The sequence below is a fragment of the Homo sapiens genome, chromosome 5, assembly GCF_000001405.40.
Source record: "Homo sapiens chromosome 5, GRCh38.p14 Primary Assembly".
NCBI classification, from domain to species: domain Eukaryota; kingdom Metazoa; phylum Chordata; class Mammalia; order Primates; family Hominidae; genus Homo; species Homo sapiens.
The window spans coordinates 159,102-174,708 of record NC_000005.10 but is presented as its reverse complement, the minus strand read 5'-3'; the positions used below and the strand labels follow the sequence as shown (position 1 = coordinate 174,708).

At 56.9% G+C, this 15,607-nt stretch overlaps 1 protein-coding gene across 1 annotated transcript in view, besides 5 other annotated features; it reads right to left on the bottom strand.

Annotated features, from left to right (window-relative positions):
- PLEKHG4B (pleckstrin homology and RhoGEF domain containing G4B) overlaps positions 1 to 15,607 on the bottom strand; it is a 97,799-nt gene that overhangs the window by 15,258 nt on the left and 66,934 nt on the right. Inside the window, exons 12-18 of the mRNA NM_052909.5 lie at positions 12,765 to 12,926; positions 11,161 to 11,987; positions 5,117 to 5,369; positions 3,577 to 3,666; positions 3,265 to 3,495; positions 1,642 to 1,812; positions 611 to 791 (exon numbers count right to left, since the gene is read on the bottom strand). Coding sequence (NP_443141.4) covers positions 611 to 791; positions 1,642 to 1,812; positions 3,265 to 3,495; positions 3,577 to 3,666; positions 5,117 to 5,369; positions 11,161 to 11,987; positions 12,765 to 12,926 — 1,915 coding nt within the window. The remainder of the gene's footprint in view (positions 1 to 610; positions 792 to 1,641; positions 1,813 to 3,264; positions 3,496 to 3,576; positions 3,667 to 5,116; positions 5,370 to 11,160; positions 11,988 to 12,764; positions 12,927 to 15,607) is intronic.
- Positions 2,952 to 3,465: an enhancer, noted in NCBI's record as "H3K27ac-H3K4me1 hESC enhancer chr5:171359-171872 (GRCh37/hg19 assembly coordinates)". NCBI's record gives its function as "activates a minimal SCP1, AML or CMV promoter by ChIP-STARR-seq in primed H9 embryonic stem cells {active_cell/tissue: H9 hESC(primed)}" and the evidence as "EXISTENCE:reporter gene assay evidence [ECO:0000049][PMID:30033119]".
- Positions 3,466 to 3,979: an enhancer, noted in NCBI's record as "H3K27ac-H3K4me1 hESC enhancer chr5:170845-171358 (GRCh37/hg19 assembly coordinates)". NCBI's record gives its function as "activates a minimal SCP1, AML or CMV promoter by ChIP-STARR-seq in primed H9 embryonic stem cells {active_cell/tissue: H9 hESC(primed)}" and the evidence as "EXISTENCE:reporter gene assay evidence [ECO:0000049][PMID:30033119]".
- Positions 4,468 to 5,667: an enhancer, noted in NCBI's record as "MED14-independent group 3 enhancer chr5:169157-170356 (GRCh37/hg19 assembly coordinates)". NCBI's record gives its function as "activates an origin of replication core promoter dependent on BRD2, BRD4, P300/CBP and CDK7 cofactors, and independent of MED14, by STARR-seq in HCT116 cells {active_cell/tissue: HCT116}" and the evidence as "EXISTENCE:reporter gene assay evidence [ECO:0000049][PMID:35650434]".
- Positions 14,037 to 14,537: an enhancer, noted in NCBI's record as "H3K27ac hESC enhancer chr5:160287-160787 (GRCh37/hg19 assembly coordinates)". NCBI's record gives its function as "activates a minimal SCP1, AML or CMV promoter by ChIP-STARR-seq in naive and primed H9 embryonic stem cells {active_cell/tissue: H9 hESC(naive and primed)}" and the evidence as "EXISTENCE:reporter gene assay evidence [ECO:0000049][PMID:30033119]".
- Positions 14,538 to 15,038: an enhancer, noted in NCBI's record as "H3K27ac hESC enhancer chr5:159786-160286 (GRCh37/hg19 assembly coordinates)". NCBI's record gives its function as "activates a minimal SCP1, AML or CMV promoter by ChIP-STARR-seq in naive and primed H9 embryonic stem cells {active_cell/tissue: H9 hESC(naive and primed)}" and the evidence as "EXISTENCE:reporter gene assay evidence [ECO:0000049][PMID:30033119]".

The window sequence follows — 15,607 nt, the reverse complement described above, 5'->3', positions numbered from 1 at the left end:
CAGCCAACCAAACTGCTATAACTGTGCACCAACCCTGTATAGAAAATGATGTGATCCTGTTGTTTCCCCAGACCGTGCCTATACAAATGGCCCTTAAACCTCCCCACTTCGGGGCAATGACCCCATCCCTTTGAAGTCTGTATCCTCCCAGTTGGCCATCCTCAGACTTTGTGCTCAAGTGAACTCAATATTTAATCATACCGCCTGAATCTCAGCATTAAGGTTGATAGCCCAGCTCCCAACCCATGCCTCCACCCCAGCCCCACTCCTAGCCTTGGCCCCCGGCCCCTGGACTCAGTCTCCAGTCCCCACCCCAGCCCCACTCCTAGCCTTAGCCCCCGACCCCTGGACTCAGTCTCCAGCCCCCACCCCGGCCCTGCTGGCCCCCTGGCCCCTGGATTCAGTCTCCAGCCCCCACCCCAGCCCCAGCCCCCATTCCCCAGCCCCTGGACTCAGTCCCCGACCACAGCTCCAGCCCCAGCTCTAGCCCTGGCCCCCAGCCCCCTGGCCCCTGGACTCAGCCCCTGGCTCTCACCCCAGTCCCAGCCCCGACCCCTGCCCCTAGCTGTGCCCCTGAGCCTGGCAGGCCCTGCGGCCCCCATCTTCCCACCTCTGCTCTTTAGTGCCTGCCGCCACAGGATCCTCCCTATGACATCGGTCCATGCACTCTTGACCTCTGCCGAGCTTGCTTGGAGAATGTAGGTGTCCTGAGATTTCCGCCGCCTGCGAAACCAAATCTCAAACCTCAAGCCACTGTCCCCGACGTTCTCTGTCATCCCGATCTCGGCCGTCTGCAGTCAGCAAACACCCATTGCAGCACCATCAGGAACATGGTCTCTGAACAACTGGCTACCCAAATTCCTCAGTGCTGGAGGTCACTTCACCCAGACACCAAATGACAAATGTGTGGGATGGGTCAGGGTGAGCGAGACCACACTGCTCACGAGTGTGTGAGGCTGCTTGTGACCGTGCCAGGGAGAGTGCCTGTGTGCAGGATAGCTGTCCGTGTGTGTGAGGCTGCTCGTGAGTGACTGCTTGTGAGCGTGCAAAGGAGACTGTACAGGACTGTCCCTGTGTGCAATGCTGCTCATGGGTGTGTGAGGCTGCTTAACAGTGTGCAAGGGAGAGTGCTTGAATGTGAAGGACAGCTGTCCATGAGTGTGCAAGGCTATGCATGAGTCTGTGAGGCTGCTTGTGTGTGAGCCCATGCACCCTCATGGACTCTGTCAAGAAGGGAGGGACCTCCCCTCCCTCAGCACAGCCGAGTCACAAGTGGGAACCTGCCCAACGTGGTGCATCAGCAAAGCCCTCCCTGTGCACCTCCGAGAGCCAGGGGAAGGCCTGTCCCTGTGTTCACCTCTGCACAGGATCCAAAATGCAGTTACTGACTGAGTAGGCACTTGTTTCTCAGCCCCTGGACTGGACATGGGACTGGAGAAGACACACTTCTCCTTGCAGCTTTTGGAAGGCTAACGTTTTCAAGAATTTACCCAAGAACCGCAGAAAACAAACATCGCAGTGCGGCTCCTCCCCGCTTCACTCCCTCCCAGTTCCTCTGCTGGCCTTAGGTGAGACAAGGGTCCGAGACCCCCTTGGAGGGCCTGGCTCGGCCTGCACCCAATCGGACCGGGCGGGTGCTACCTTGAAGGACTGCTTGTACAGGTAGACGTCGTGGCTGCCCTCCACCTTCTGGGTCTTGCTAAACAGGATGAGGTCTTCAAAGAGGAACACATGCCTCAGATACTTCTTCCTCCCGCAGCAAACGATAAACTCATCCCGGCATCTCAGCTGCCCCTGTTCCTTCAAATTCACCTGCAGAGGAACACACAGGTGGATTTCATCCAAGAAAATCCGGCGTCTGTGGTGGCACAGGTCACTGTCTCCGTCTAAATGTGTTAGCTTCGTGACAAGACGGAACAGCAGCCAAACTGCCATAAAATCTGGCAAATCCGCCTTAATGTTAGCTGTTAAAGGTTTCAAAGAGCATCAGGATAGAAACTGCAGCATCACATCTAAAAGCTCAGGAACTCACCCAGTTCCCCCCAACCCTCCCGTTTGACCCTCTGGGCCCACACACAGGGGAGGAGCCCTGCTCAGGGGGTGAGCGTCCCACACCCCCACCCCGGCCCCCGTTCCCGGGTCATACGTGCAGAGATCACAAGGTAAACCTTGTTGCGATTTATGGAACTTTCTTCTTCAAAGCCCTCGCGTCCATTTTGATGGAACTCCCTGCTGAGGTGGTGCTAGAGTCCCCCTCACTAAATAGCCCCTGGGAATCCGACAGCTCCTCCCTCGTCCCCACAGAAATCCCTTCAAGCTGGGTCAGAGGAGACAGCAGCCCCCAGAGATGGAGCCGCCGTGCCCACCAGGCTGTCCCTCCCCTAGTGGAATTTACCCGCATGACGGGCACGGTTGGCAGAGCCTCTCCCATGACCTCCATCCCATGGACGCCCCTAGGGCTCCTTGGCTGAGGATGCTGGGACAGCCTGAGGCGCCTCCACACAAGTGACCAGGAAGACTGACTATACCACTTCCTAGAAGCAGCCCCGATTCCGTCGGTGTTGGGGGCCCGAGATGGGCCTGCCTTTTCCAGCTCATGTGGGGTCCCACCCTCCACGGCCCTGCTCTGCCATTGGGGTGTCACCCATCCCAGGCCAGAGTGGAGCCAGCGCCCCCACGCACCGGCCATTTCTCAGCTCACCCGTGGCCTTTTGGGCATCTGGGGTTTGGGGCAGCCAGGGCAGCCTTCACTACACTGAGCTGCACAACCCCCGCAGAGGGGCCTGATGAGACCCATGCAGCCGGTCGCGGGCAGCAGCATATGGGTGAGCTGCCGCGGGCCCGTATGAACGAGCCAAGGTCAGCCCCACGCCCTGGCCCTAGTGCCTTCTCACAGAGGGCTGGGGTGCAGCGCTCACGTCCACCTGTTTTAAATACAGCCCAGGTAAGCAGACTTCCAGTTATTCAGAGCCAGCCTGCTTTGCATGTCCTGTAGAACGGCAGCCAACATCTGCCAGCCATTGTCAAACCCTGGGGCTCCAGGGGCCTCGAGCCTGGCTGCTCCCTGACATTGCCCAGACAGGTAAGACCCTCCTCCAGGTGGCCCCCGCTGCGGCCTTCAGAAGGCTGTGCTTTGAGGGACTTCTCCGGGGCAAATCTGCCAGCACATCACCAAGAAAAGTGTGCTGCTGGGGCCAAGACTTTCTCACCAGCAGCCTCAAATTCCCCCAGCTTGCCTGAGCTGCCAGCGTCTGAGGCACTTACGTCACAGCCGCGGATGGCGTCCATGGCCAGCAGGTCATTGCCGTGACGCAGCTGGAAGCAGACCACGACCTCGGCGGCTCGGAGCTCGCCCAGCTCCTGCCCCTGGGCCAGGCCACAGCTGGCCTCCTTGAGCAGGTCCTGGAGTAGCAGCGCGTACTTGGCCACACGCTGCACGGGCCGCAGCAGGTAGGAGGCCAGGTCCATTTTGTCACCTAGCTCCCGCTGCTTGTCCTGCAAGGGCCGGGTGAGAGGGTCAGCTCCGGCCTGGCTGAGGGCCGGGCAGGCTGTGGGGGGCGGGCCGAGGGGGATGACCTTGAAGAAGGCGTTGCCATGGCTGCTGAGCAGGGCATCCGACTGCGGCTTGTTTTTGCTGTAGATCACGTACATCCCAAACTGCTCTTCCTGGAAAAGCAGAGGCGACTGCTTGGCTGTGGGAGTGACAGGCCCAGAGACAGCAGGCTCCCGCAGCCCGGGTCAGACTTGGAACTGCTCCCGTCCCAAGACCCCCCAGGTGCAGTTTGTACCATGATCAGGTGAAAGGGAGACTCGGCCCTTCATTAAAGACTATCAGAGTATCCCCAACACCAGGGCTCCAGGGGTGACCAGTTTACCAGCTGAAGCCTCAATGCTGAGAATTCTGTAATTTGTCTTTAAAACACAGACTCCAGGGGGTTGAGGGGGGAAGAGGATGCAGCTGGCAGTGGGCCTGGGAGGGCGTGGGGGGCATTGGAATGATTTGGTCCATGGCCAAGAGCTAAAGCTGTCAAGACATTTAAAATTGCCACAATCACGGTCAATATGAATCTGCACTTTATGTCTAAAAGCACCTTTTAAGAAAATGCTGAGGCTGGGCACAGTGGCTCACACCTGTAATCCCAGCACTTTGGGAGGCTGAAGCGGGTGGATCAGGAGGTTGGGAGTTCAAGACCAGCCTCGCCAGCATGGTGAAACTCCATCTCTACTAAAAATACAAAAATTAGCCGGGCGTGGTGGCGGCGCCTGTAGTCCCAGCTACTCAAGAGGCTGAGGCAGGAGAATCACTTGAACTCGGGAGGCGGAGTCTGCTGTGAGCTGTGATTGTGCCACTGCACTCCAGTCTGGGCAACAGAGCGAGACTTCATCTCAAAGAAAAAAAAAAAGGAAACACTGAAAAGATGTAACATGCGCTTCTTTTGTCCACGGCTGTTTTCGTTGTGATAATCTGTGCTCAGTGGTCTGGGACATACATCCCATCTGCCCACAGCACTCAGTGAATGCCTGTTGAAAGCCTGTCAGTTTCTTTCCAGAGTAAATTAAAAACTTTATTAAAGACTCTCAAACAGAGAGATTCCACATTCATCACTGAGAAGCAACTTACGAGGAGAGACCACTGGGTCTGTACATTCAACGTGCTTCCAGTTGAAAGCCTCACAGGGAATTCTCAGAACGGGACAGGCTGGTCCCTCTGGCAGGTAATGGGGCATCCAGGGGCAGGGGGCGTGTGAAGAGGTGAGGCCTGGCCTCTCCCCGGAAGGTGATTCTGGGAACTGCTTCTGGCCTATCAGCTGGAAGTGGTAAAGGAGAAGGGCTGCTGGCAGAATGGGTGTGATGGTGTCTGTGAGCCTCCGCCTCCAGGGGCAGCAGGGACACAGTCGGTCACACCACGCGCAAAGCACCGAGCACTGGAGACCCACAGGTTATCCGTGTGGGGCATCTGTTTTTCGGCTGGTCTTAACATCCTGTCAGGACCAGCTCCTAGACCTGGACTGAAGCTATTCCAACCGCCTGACACGTGGGCCCTGTAGGCCCCGCCTCTCTGACACCGGCTTCACCCACCACGTTGCCCGGCACCCACGCCATGGCCTGCACTTACGTGTCTCAGGAAACTGCGGCCCACGGCCAAGGGGCAGTGCTGGCAGCGCTCCAGCTCCCGGAGGAAGTGCTGCTGGTGGAAGTCGTGGAGCTTCTCCAAGTTGCCGAAAATAACGTGGTGCTTCCCTCGAAGGCCCTGGGGCAAGTCCATTCTTTCCATTTCTGGAAAATAGTTGTCAATGACGTATCCTAAGCACCGAATGTACTCCCTCTCTGTGGCGATCATCTCGGCCATGATGTGCCTCAGTCGGCTGCTGGAAGACACAGAGATCCCGGGGGGCACACGGCCCCCCACGGACACTTTATTAAAAGCAATTCATGCCTGAGACAGAAACACATGAAAACCCGGAGGGATGAGCAGGGTCACATGTGGACTGGAGGCACATGGGCACATGTGGGATGCACGATAAAAAAGCTTCCGGCCAGGCGTGGGGGCTCGTGCCTGTAATCCCAGGACTTTGGGAGGCTGAGGCGGGTAGATCACGAGGTCAAGAGATCGAGACCAGCCTGGCCAACATGGTGAAACCTCGTCTCTACTCAAAATACAAAAATTAGCTGGGGGTAGTGGCAGGCACCTATAGTCCCAGCCACTTGGGAAGCTGAGGCAGGAGAATCACTTGAACCTGGGAGGCGGATGCTGCAGTGAGGCGAGATCACGCCACTGCACTCCTGCACTCCAGCCTGGTGACAGAGTGAGACTCTGTCTCAAAAAAAAAAAAAAAAAAAAAGAATAATCTTCCAGTCTACTGCACATCCTCAGCAAGGAGCGACTCACCTGCACCTCCACTCATTCTCTCCCTGTTACCTGGAGCTGCTCTCTTGATACACAGTAACTTGAAAAGATAAGGACTATATTTCAAAAAGAAACTTGTCAGGTGAAACATTTCCACATTATTGATCATGGCCTTTTCAGAGGAAAGATCCCTTTGGAAACCAAGACAGACAGATTCCCAGGCTTCCTAACTGAAACTCTGAACATAAGGTTTCTCGTTCCCAGCTGGTTTCATTCTAGCGGTGAGATGACTCAAACACTTCCAGCAGTGACGCTTCTGCTAAGGAAGGCTGTGGTGGAAATTTCGTGAGAAAACGGCTTTTGGATCCTTGCCCACTGCTGACTGACCAGGAGGTTTTCTCGAGGGTCAGCTTCCATGGTAGTTACTCCTGACCCAAGGGGCTCAGCACCTTAAGGAGCAGCTTCAGGGGTACTCGGGGGCTGCAGTGGCCGGAGAGCAAGGCCGGGGGCGCAGGACGGCCCAGAGGTGGACAACAGCAGGCTAGGCCCCAGGGATGGCCCTCCACGGAACCCTCAGCCCCACCCTTGGCTGGGGTCTCCCTGCCTTGAATGAGCGTCCTGAGGAGGGGCTGCCAAGCAGGGTTTGTAGGAGCACTGTTCCCGTGAGGGGTGAGCCTCTGAAGCACTTCTGAGTCTTTGAAGAGCCCTTCCTGACAACACACACATCTGCAGGAGATGTGGGCTCCTCTGTGGCTGCCCGAAGTCTCACTACCTCCGTATCCCCAGGGCAGGGCAGGACCCAGAGGATCCACTCGTGTTGCCCTGAGAGAGTGGAGAGGTGGGCTGGCCAGTGTGGTCAGCTTGGCCAGACGGTACCTCCCGTGCAAAACTGCAGTGCTGTGATCATAGAGGCCCAAACTGGGCTTCCCAAATCAGGTGGTATTTTTTAATTTTTTTATTACCACTAAAAAACATGCTAAGCATCCAAAAGTACTTTTACACCATAAACAAATGCAGGACGCTTAGGCTGGTGGCTCTGTTTCATGAGCTGGCTGGAGTGGGGCCACCTGGTCACTCTCAGCAACTGAGCAGTGGCCAGCATGTGAGCCTGGAGGGCAGGGCCCACACTCCGGCAGCATGAATGCCAAAGCCTGGCCTGGGCGGCGGGACTCTCCAGGAGAAGGTTCTCTGGGTTCTGCTGGGGTGGGATCTGGGCGTGTCCCACAGCTCTGCACCTCAGACAGCACCATCCACTGCACTTTCAAAGGAGATTTCCCAGGGCCATGGTGAGCCGGGGGCCCTGCCCTAATGAACAGTGAGGTGCGTTGCTTTTCTCCTCTACTTGATGGCATCTTACCCCCAACCTCCTTAAATAACTCGATCCTGATGATACCAATGGGAGTTGGCAGATTTTTTTTCTACCATTATTTGTATTTACTTGTTTTTTAAGTTGGAAAAACTAAAAAGCAGCTAATGATGGGAAGCACAGCTGTGGGCAGAAATGCTGCTGAACGCACATCCCATTCACAGCAGAGCTGCAGAACTTGTCCCCTTCACTCCTGCATAACAGATTTGACAGATTCTCACTGTTTCTGAGAACACAGCACCTCCTGGCTGGTCAGGAACTGGCCCTCACAGCACTGGCGGGAAGGCCGAGGCCCAGTGTCACGACCCACACAAAAGCCTCCTCAGTAAATATCCAGAAACAAAATCAGAATGAGGACAGTCTTAATTGGGTCTTGATCAAAGTAAATGGACAATGTACTCACTAGGAAGCAAAGGCTGGAAATCACACGGGGGTCGGCAGGAGTCCCCCCTTCCTGTGTTCTGCTGCCCCCCAAACCTGAAACATGGGCTCAGTGGAGACAGAAACGTCAGTGCAGCCACTTGCTGAGACTCAGGGACAGCGCTTGGCGTTCCTCTTACGGATTCGGAAGGGCTCAGCCGGCAGATACACCCTGGATCACTCACACCAATGGTAAAAACCAGAACTTAATGTTCTACTTGGAGCTTTGCCTTTAACAAGGTAAACACTGAGTCTGGCAACCTAAAGGTGTGTTTCAGAAGAGTGTTCTTGGGCCTTCTCCGTTCAGATTAAACCTATGATCAGGGTGTGAGGAGGAAACCCCTTCTATGGACCTTAAGGCAGAGGCCTCCAACCCCCAGGGCCACCGACTGGTACCCATCTGTGGCCTATTAGGAACCAGGCCGCCCAGCAGGAGGTGAGTGGCAGGCGAGGGAGTGTTGCCACCTGAGCTCCGCCTCCTGCCAGAGCATTAGTGTGAGCCCCGCCCCGTCAGAGCATTAGTGTGAGCCCCGCCCCGTCAGAGCATTAGTGTGAGCTCCGCCCCGTCAGAAGATTACTGTGAGCCCCGCCCCGTCAGAGCATTAGTGTGAGCTCCGCCCCGTCAGAGCATTAGTGTGAGCTCCGCCCCGTCAGAGCATTAGTGTGAGCTCCGCCCCGTCAGAGGATTACTGTGAGCCCCGCCCCGTCAGAGCATTAGTGTGAGCCCCGCCCCGTCAGAGCATTAGTGTGAGCTCCGCCCCGTCAGAGGATTACTGTGAGCCCCGCCCCGTCAGAGCATTAGTGTGAGCCCCGCCCCGTCAGAGCATTAGTGTGAGCCCCGCCCCGTCAGAGGATTACTGTGAGCCCCGCCCCGTCAGAGCATTAGTGTGAGCTCCGCCCCGTCAGAGGATTACTGTGAGCCCCGCCCCGTCAGAGCATTAGTGTGAGCCCCGTCCCGTCAGAGCATTAGTGTGAGCTCCGCCCCGTCAGAGGATTACTGTGAGCCCCGCCCCGTCAGAGCATTAGTGTGAGCCCTGCCCCGTCAGAGCATTAGTGTGAGCCCCGCCCCGTCAGAGGATTACTGTGAGCCCCGCCCCGTCAGAGCATTAGTGTGAGCTCCGCCCCGTCAGAGGATTACTGTGAGCCCCGCCCCGTCAGAGCATTAGTGTGAGCTCCGCCCCGTCAGAGCATTAGTGTGAGCTCCGCCCCGTCAGAGGATTACTGTGAGCCCCGCCCCGTCAGAGCATTAGTGTGAGCCCCGTCCCATCAGAGCATTAGTGTGAGCTCCGCCCCGTCAGAGGATTACTGTGAGCCCCGCCCCGTCAGAGCATTAGTGTGAGCCCCGCCCCGTCAGAGCATTAGTGTGAGCTCCGCCCCGTCAGAGCATTAGTGTGAGCCCCGCCCCGTCAGAGCATTAGTGTGAGCTCCGCCACATCAGAGCATTAGTGTGAGCTCCGCCCCGTCAGAGCATTAGTGTGAGCCCCGCCCCGTCAGAGGATTACTGTGAGCCCCGCCCCGTCAGAGCATTAGTGTGAGCCCCGCCCCGTCAGAGCATTAGTGTGAGCCCCGCCCCGTCAGAGCATTAGTGTGAGCTCCGCCCCGTCAGAGCATTAGTGTGAGCCCCGCCCCATCAGAGCATTAGTGTGAGCCCCGCCCCGTCAGAGCATTAGTGTGAGCTCCGCCCCGTCAGAGGATTACTGTGAGCCCCGCCCCGTCAGAGCATTAGTGTGAGCTCCGCCCCGTCAGAGGATTACTGTGAGCCCCGCCCCGTCAGAGCGTTAGTGTGAGCCCCGCCCCGTCAGAGCATTAGTGAGCCCCGCCCCGTCAGAGCATTAGTGTGAGCTCCGCCCCGTCAGAGCATTAGTGTGAGCTCCGCCCCGTCAGAGGAGTACTGTGAGCCCCGCCCCGTCAGAGCATTAGTGTGAGCTCCGCCCCGTCACAGCATTACTGTGTGAGCTCCGCCCCGTCACAGCATTAGTGTGAGCCCCGCCCCGTCAGAGCATTAGTGTGAGCTCCGCCCCGTCAGAGCATTAGTGTGAGCTCCGCCCTGTCAGAGCATTACTGTGAGCCCTGCCCCGTCAGAGCATTAGTGTGAGCTCCGCCCCGTCAGAGCATTAGTGTGTAAGCCCCGCCCCGTCACAGCATTAGTGTGAGCTCCGCCCCGTCACAGCATTACTGTGTGAGCTCCGCCCCGTCAGAGCATTACTGTGAGCCCCGCCCCCTGTCACAGCATTAGTGTGAGCTCCGCTCCGTCACAGCATTAGTGTGTGAGCTCCGCCCCGTCAGAGCATTAGTGTGAGCTCCGCCCCGTCAGAGGATTACTGTGAGCCCCGCCCCGTCAGAGTATTAGTGTGAGCTCCGCCCCGTCAGAGCATTAGTGTGAGCTCCGCCCCCTGTCAGAGTATTAGTGTGAGCTCCGCCCGTCAGAGCATTAGTGTGAGCTCCGCTCCGTCACAGCATTACTGTGAGCTCCGCTCCGTCACAGCATTACTGTGTGAGCTCCGCCCCCTGTCAGAGCATTACTGTGTGAGCTCCGCCCCCTGTCACAGCATTACTGTGTGAGCTCCGCCCCCTGTCAGAGCATTAGTGTGAGCTCTGCTCCGTCACAACATTACTGTGAGCCCCGCCCCCTGTCACAGCATTACTGGGTGAACTCCGCCCCCAGTCACATCATTACTGTGTGAGCTCCGCCTCCTGTCAGATCAGTGGCAGCATTAGAGTCTCGGAGAAGCACGAACACTACTGCACATGTGAGGGATCTAGGTTTCGTGCTCCTTATGAGAATCTAACTAATGCCTGGTGAGCTGAAGTGGAGCAGTTTCATCCCAAAACCATACCCCAACCCCTGCGGTCTGTGGAAAAATTGTCTTCCATGAATCCTGTCCCTGGTGGCAAAAAGGATGGGGATTGCTGGCCCAAGACACAGAAGCCAACCAAATGAGCAAAGCATCTCACGAAATTCTCCACCTCTAGCCCTCACGACCAGTACCACATGGGTGGAAGATGGAGGTTCAGACGGCATCCGGCCTAGGCAGGGGCCGAGTGCGCCCACCCTTACCAATGAGTGGACGCGTCCTTTGCAGGCTCGACAAGTGAGAAGGGGCCTCTTCAGTGGGGCAATGGGCGCATGGGTGCGCCTTCTAACCCCTAACACTTAAGAGACTTTTTAAAAGTTATTTTTAAGGTAACTCTTCTTGGTGTCGGGGTTGATTTGCTGCTTGTAATTTTCTGTAAGTGGGCTGAAAATAACTAGAGTTGGTCGCACAGTTACTTAACCGTCAGAGTGAGTGTGTGCAGGTTACCACACACCATCCAGGCAGTTTTCAGTGGTCCCTTCCGGACATGGGGGCAGGTAACTCATATCTAGTTTAAAATTGTGTTTCTTCTTAGACCGGACAGGTGGACCCAGAGGGATGTCTGCGGATTTACTTTCTACTTTGCAGAAGAGAGTTTACTGCCTAAATGGCTTTGGGTTTCTAGATCCCCAAGGACTGCTAGGACGAGAGGAGGGGGACGTCCACCTCACCTGCCCACCTGCTGCCTCCCATCCTCCTCAGCAGGGTGGAGCCCCGAGGGGGAGGACAGACTCCGGCTCTGAGTGACCGGGGGGCTCCTGGCATGCTGCCACAGCGGGAGCTTCTTCTCTGTGGCTACAGTGCTGGTTACCTCCAGGCCCTTGCTGAAGACACTAGTATGGTCTGGCTGGCAGGAGTCCCTGGGGCCACTGTCGGGCTGAGGTATCTCGAAACTTTGCGTTTTCTTTATCATTTTCTTCTGGGGATGTTTCCTGGGGCGGCTGGCCAGGGTCTGGGTGGGCTCAGAGGAACAGGCAGAGCTGTCCTCCAGGTGGGCCGTGGTGGCCCCTGCCCCTGGAAGGCCCCTGAGGAGGGACAGTGGGTCCCACAGAGCACACAGCCCTGGGCGCAGGGTCTCCCCGTCCTGTCCACACAGAAGCGCTCGTCCAGGGAGGCCGGACAGTGGTTGCGCAGGTTCCCAGGCACCACCCCCACTGTCCGTGCTGGGGAATGAGGGTGGCTTCTGGTGCCTCCTCATGGCCTCCTGGGCACGCTCATGCTTTGGGGGGCTCTGGGCAAGGGGCGGTAAGCTGGGGTCTGGGGCAGCCTCAGAAAGGGCCTCTTCCAGACGGAGCCGGGTCTGGGGGTACTGCAGCCACAGGTCTTGCTGTGATGCCCACGGTTTCCCCAGGGCATGAGGCTTCAGCACTGCCACACCTGCCCCGGGGAAGGCCTCTGCAGCCACCGAGGTAGCCTCCTGGTGACAGCTCCTCAAACACTCAGCCACGGGTGAGGAGGGACAAGCCTCCGGGTCCAGGGGCCCCATCCAGCTGCTCACCTGTGGGACAAGGAGGGCTCTGCTCAGTGCAGTGGAGGAGGGGCTGCCCTGGAGCCAGCTCAGGCCCTGCTGTTCCCCAGGTCAGCCTATTCAGGGACCAGGGGGCCAGAAAGCAGAGCGAGAGGCAGTCCCGCCACCCAGTGGGGGCTGTGGCCGGGTTCAGCGGAAGGGCAGGTGGGCTGTGTCTGACCCCATGGGGTCTGTTCGCCATGCCAGAGGGCACCGTGGGGGATGTCCTAGGACCACGTGAAGACATTGTGTAGATCAGTTATGCCACATCCTGTGAGCTGAGAGAGGCGTGACGGGGCAGACGGCTCTACCCTGCTCTGGCCACCCCATGACCCCTCAAATGCTGTCCTGACAGGTGAGCTCCGTGGCCTCTGGCCCGGGCTCCTAATGGCAGGCAGTCCCCGGCGCGGGGGAGCTCGCAGGCGTGCGGTCTGGGGCGCGTGGGAGCTCGCAGGCGAGCAGTCTGCTGTAGCACTTGTTTAGGGTTTTGGGCAATCAGTGGAATTTTCTAACTGAGCCAGTAAACACACAGAGAAATGTGTGTGTTCGTTTGGCTGGTCTGTTTGGTACAATATCAAATGCTTCACAGGTCGGCTCAGAGCCTTCTCCAGAGAGCCGTGGGCGCAGTGGCCAGGGGGGCTCCATCGCAGGTGCCCGGCCTCTGTCCCACAGCCTGGCCCACTCCAGCTTGTGAGGGGAGGCACTTGCTAGATGTCCACAGCCTAAGGAGCCGGGATCCCTGGGACGCACGCCCACTGGGTCTCTTACCGTCTCGCACAACTCGGACGAGCGGGTCCACCTGGCCAGCTCTCCCTCCCTGCACTCAGCCTGGCTGACCACGGCGCTCAGGCCCCTTCTGAAATCCTGGACCATTTCCTCTGTACGTTGCGGGTTCTCCTTCGCCAGCTGTAGTCCTTTCTGGCAGGATTGCTGTACCCAAGGAACAAAGCATCAGTACAAGCCCGGTGCTTCCACGTTCATGTCTCCAGGTGTGGGCTGGGTCTGCGTGTAGCCACTGGCACCAAGGCTCGGACGGCCCACAGTGCTGCCTGCTGCTGCCTCTCATTCTCGAGAGCAGGCACCAAAGGACCGAGGCATTTCTCTAGTTCTTTTCCAAACTATGATTTGATCTACACAGGGGAAGAACATTTTATATTTAAACATGCGAAGAAGTCACACTCTAGGATTTAGCAGGACCGAGGGAGGGATGCGTCTTGGTCATGTCCTGAGTACACGCTGCACAGGGCTGACAGCCTGGCTGCGTAACCACCCGTGAATGAACACGACTGATGAGAGGTGGCACGGGCCTCTGAGGCTCAAGCTCCAAACTATTTTCATTGTTTGGAAAAGGACATTAAAATCATTGAACAATAGATCCAGGACTTTCCATTTTGAAACTGGTTAATATGGTAAGCATATTCCAGAAATATTCTTCAGGCCAGTGGCTGCTTGGCCCCTTGAGGCTGCCTGGGAAAGATGGGGGAGCCCCTGGCTGAGCCCTGCTGGACGGAGCGCCTGTGGCTACGCGCCCTGGTGACAAGACCAAGGTTCTTATTTTGGAGGCATTTACTGCTGGATTCAGTGGAAATGTCAGAGGTAAGCCCTTCATGTTGTCGTTAAACAGCAACACCAGGGGCGACTAGGGGTCAGATGCCCAGAGATGAGAGGCCTGTTGTGAAGAAGAGAACAGCTGCCTGGATCCATGACCATCAGAAGGTACCGAATGACCCCAGACATGCAGCAGAGGAGAGACAGACCAGCACATACGCTGTCTGTAAACAGAGCCAGAGTCAAGAAGAAAATCACAGCATCTTGATTCTTAGGAGCACGGGCAGAGTCTTGCAACTGCCAGGCAAGGGGCAGGTGCGGCTTCGGCAGAGCAGAGTGGGGGTGGCGCAGAGCTGGAGCCTGGCCTCCAACTTTGTGGAAAAATCGGCTGTCATTGGTTTCAAGATTTAAATACAAAAATTCAAGTCATAAAGGTTCTATGATGAAATACACTAATAATTCTATAACTTAAGGTAGAAAGGGCTGTTTAAAAGATAAGCAAAGCTAGAGGGCAAATGACAAACTAGGAAAACAAGCAGAACATGAAGGATCCATATAACATAGACAGAAGTGATGATCAACCCTAGAAAAACTGTCTAAAGCATGAACAAGTAATTCACTACAGAAATAAAAATAATAAACGTGTGAAGAGAATGTCCAGCTGTCGCATAGAAAATCTGAGGGCACACTGTTTAGGGGCTCCATTTCCCCACGGGGCAGCCGGCGGGAGGCAGGTGCGGCTGGAGTGCCACGGCTTATGCGTGGAAACCTCCAAAAACAAATGGTCTGACCGCAGCCATCCGAGCCTAGGAATGTATCCAGAGTCAACACCCACAGGCTGTGAAGGAAGCAGAGACACAGAGATGTTCAACATGGGGAGTTTCTAACAGCAGAGAGGGGAGGAGCCCAGGGCCTTCAGTGTGGGAGCCGTGTGAACATGGCTCGGGGACTGAGCTTGCAGCGCATGCCCACACACAGGGTGCCGAGGCCGCCACATGCGGCATCCCGTGTGTAAAAATCTATTTGTTTCTAATTTTCCCACAGTGTGCATGCACTTTTTAGGTTAAATATATAGAGACAGACGTGCACCTATACATAGCAGGATCGCCTGTCCGGTCACAACGTGGAGTTTCTGGGTGAAGACTGCAGAGTGAGACGTGTCCTCTTGAGACACCACTAAAGCCCTGCAAGCATCTTCCAAGGCGTAACACTCAGCACGGTGGGCAGAGAGCAGCCAGGGCACAAACCTGGAGGCCGGGAAGGAAGCGGGAGTGGCAGGGCCTGAGGAGAGCAGAGGCCAAGTCCCGAGACTCCACAGGACAGGGTGAGGGAGTGTCGGAGGGAAGGAGCTGGGCACCCTGCTCCACAGGGCCCAGGGTCTGTTCCCTGGCAGGTGAACACTGAGCTACGGCCAGGCTCTCCTTTCAGGCCGGGATTAGAGGAAAAGAATCAGACCGCCAGGGAGAAAATGCTAAAGATGCGTGGGCCACAGGCTTCCTAGCCAGGGGTCGCCAGGAAAGCCTCTGGCGCCAGAACAAACCCACAGAAGCCACAGACTGTGCAGACTCATCATGATTAGTATGGAGAGGGGACTGTTCAGAAAATAAGCCCATGGAGTTAAAAAGCAAGAGCAGAAACAAAAAACTCAATAATAGAGTTAGAGGGTAAAGCTGAGAAAAATCTACCTTACAAGGACAGCACACAGCCAGGGGTGGGGAAAATTAAGGCAACAGGACAGAAAACTCCAGAACCAGATGGAAGTGTGGAGCTGTGGGAAATGCGAGCGCCACGAAGGATGTCACAGAATTCCCAGAACAGAGGGGCGCAGTGCAGACACAAAGAGCACACCTGCCCTCGGTGCACCTGGGCGACCCTCAGGCACACCTGCCCTCAGTGCACCTGGGCGACCCTCAGGCACACCTGCCCTCAGTGCACCTGGGCGACCCTCAGGCACACCTGGGCCACCCTCAGGCACACCTGCTCTCAGTGCACCTGGGTGACCCTCGGGCACACCTGCCCTCAGCGCACCTGGGCAACCCTCAGATTCCAGAGCCCCGAGGACG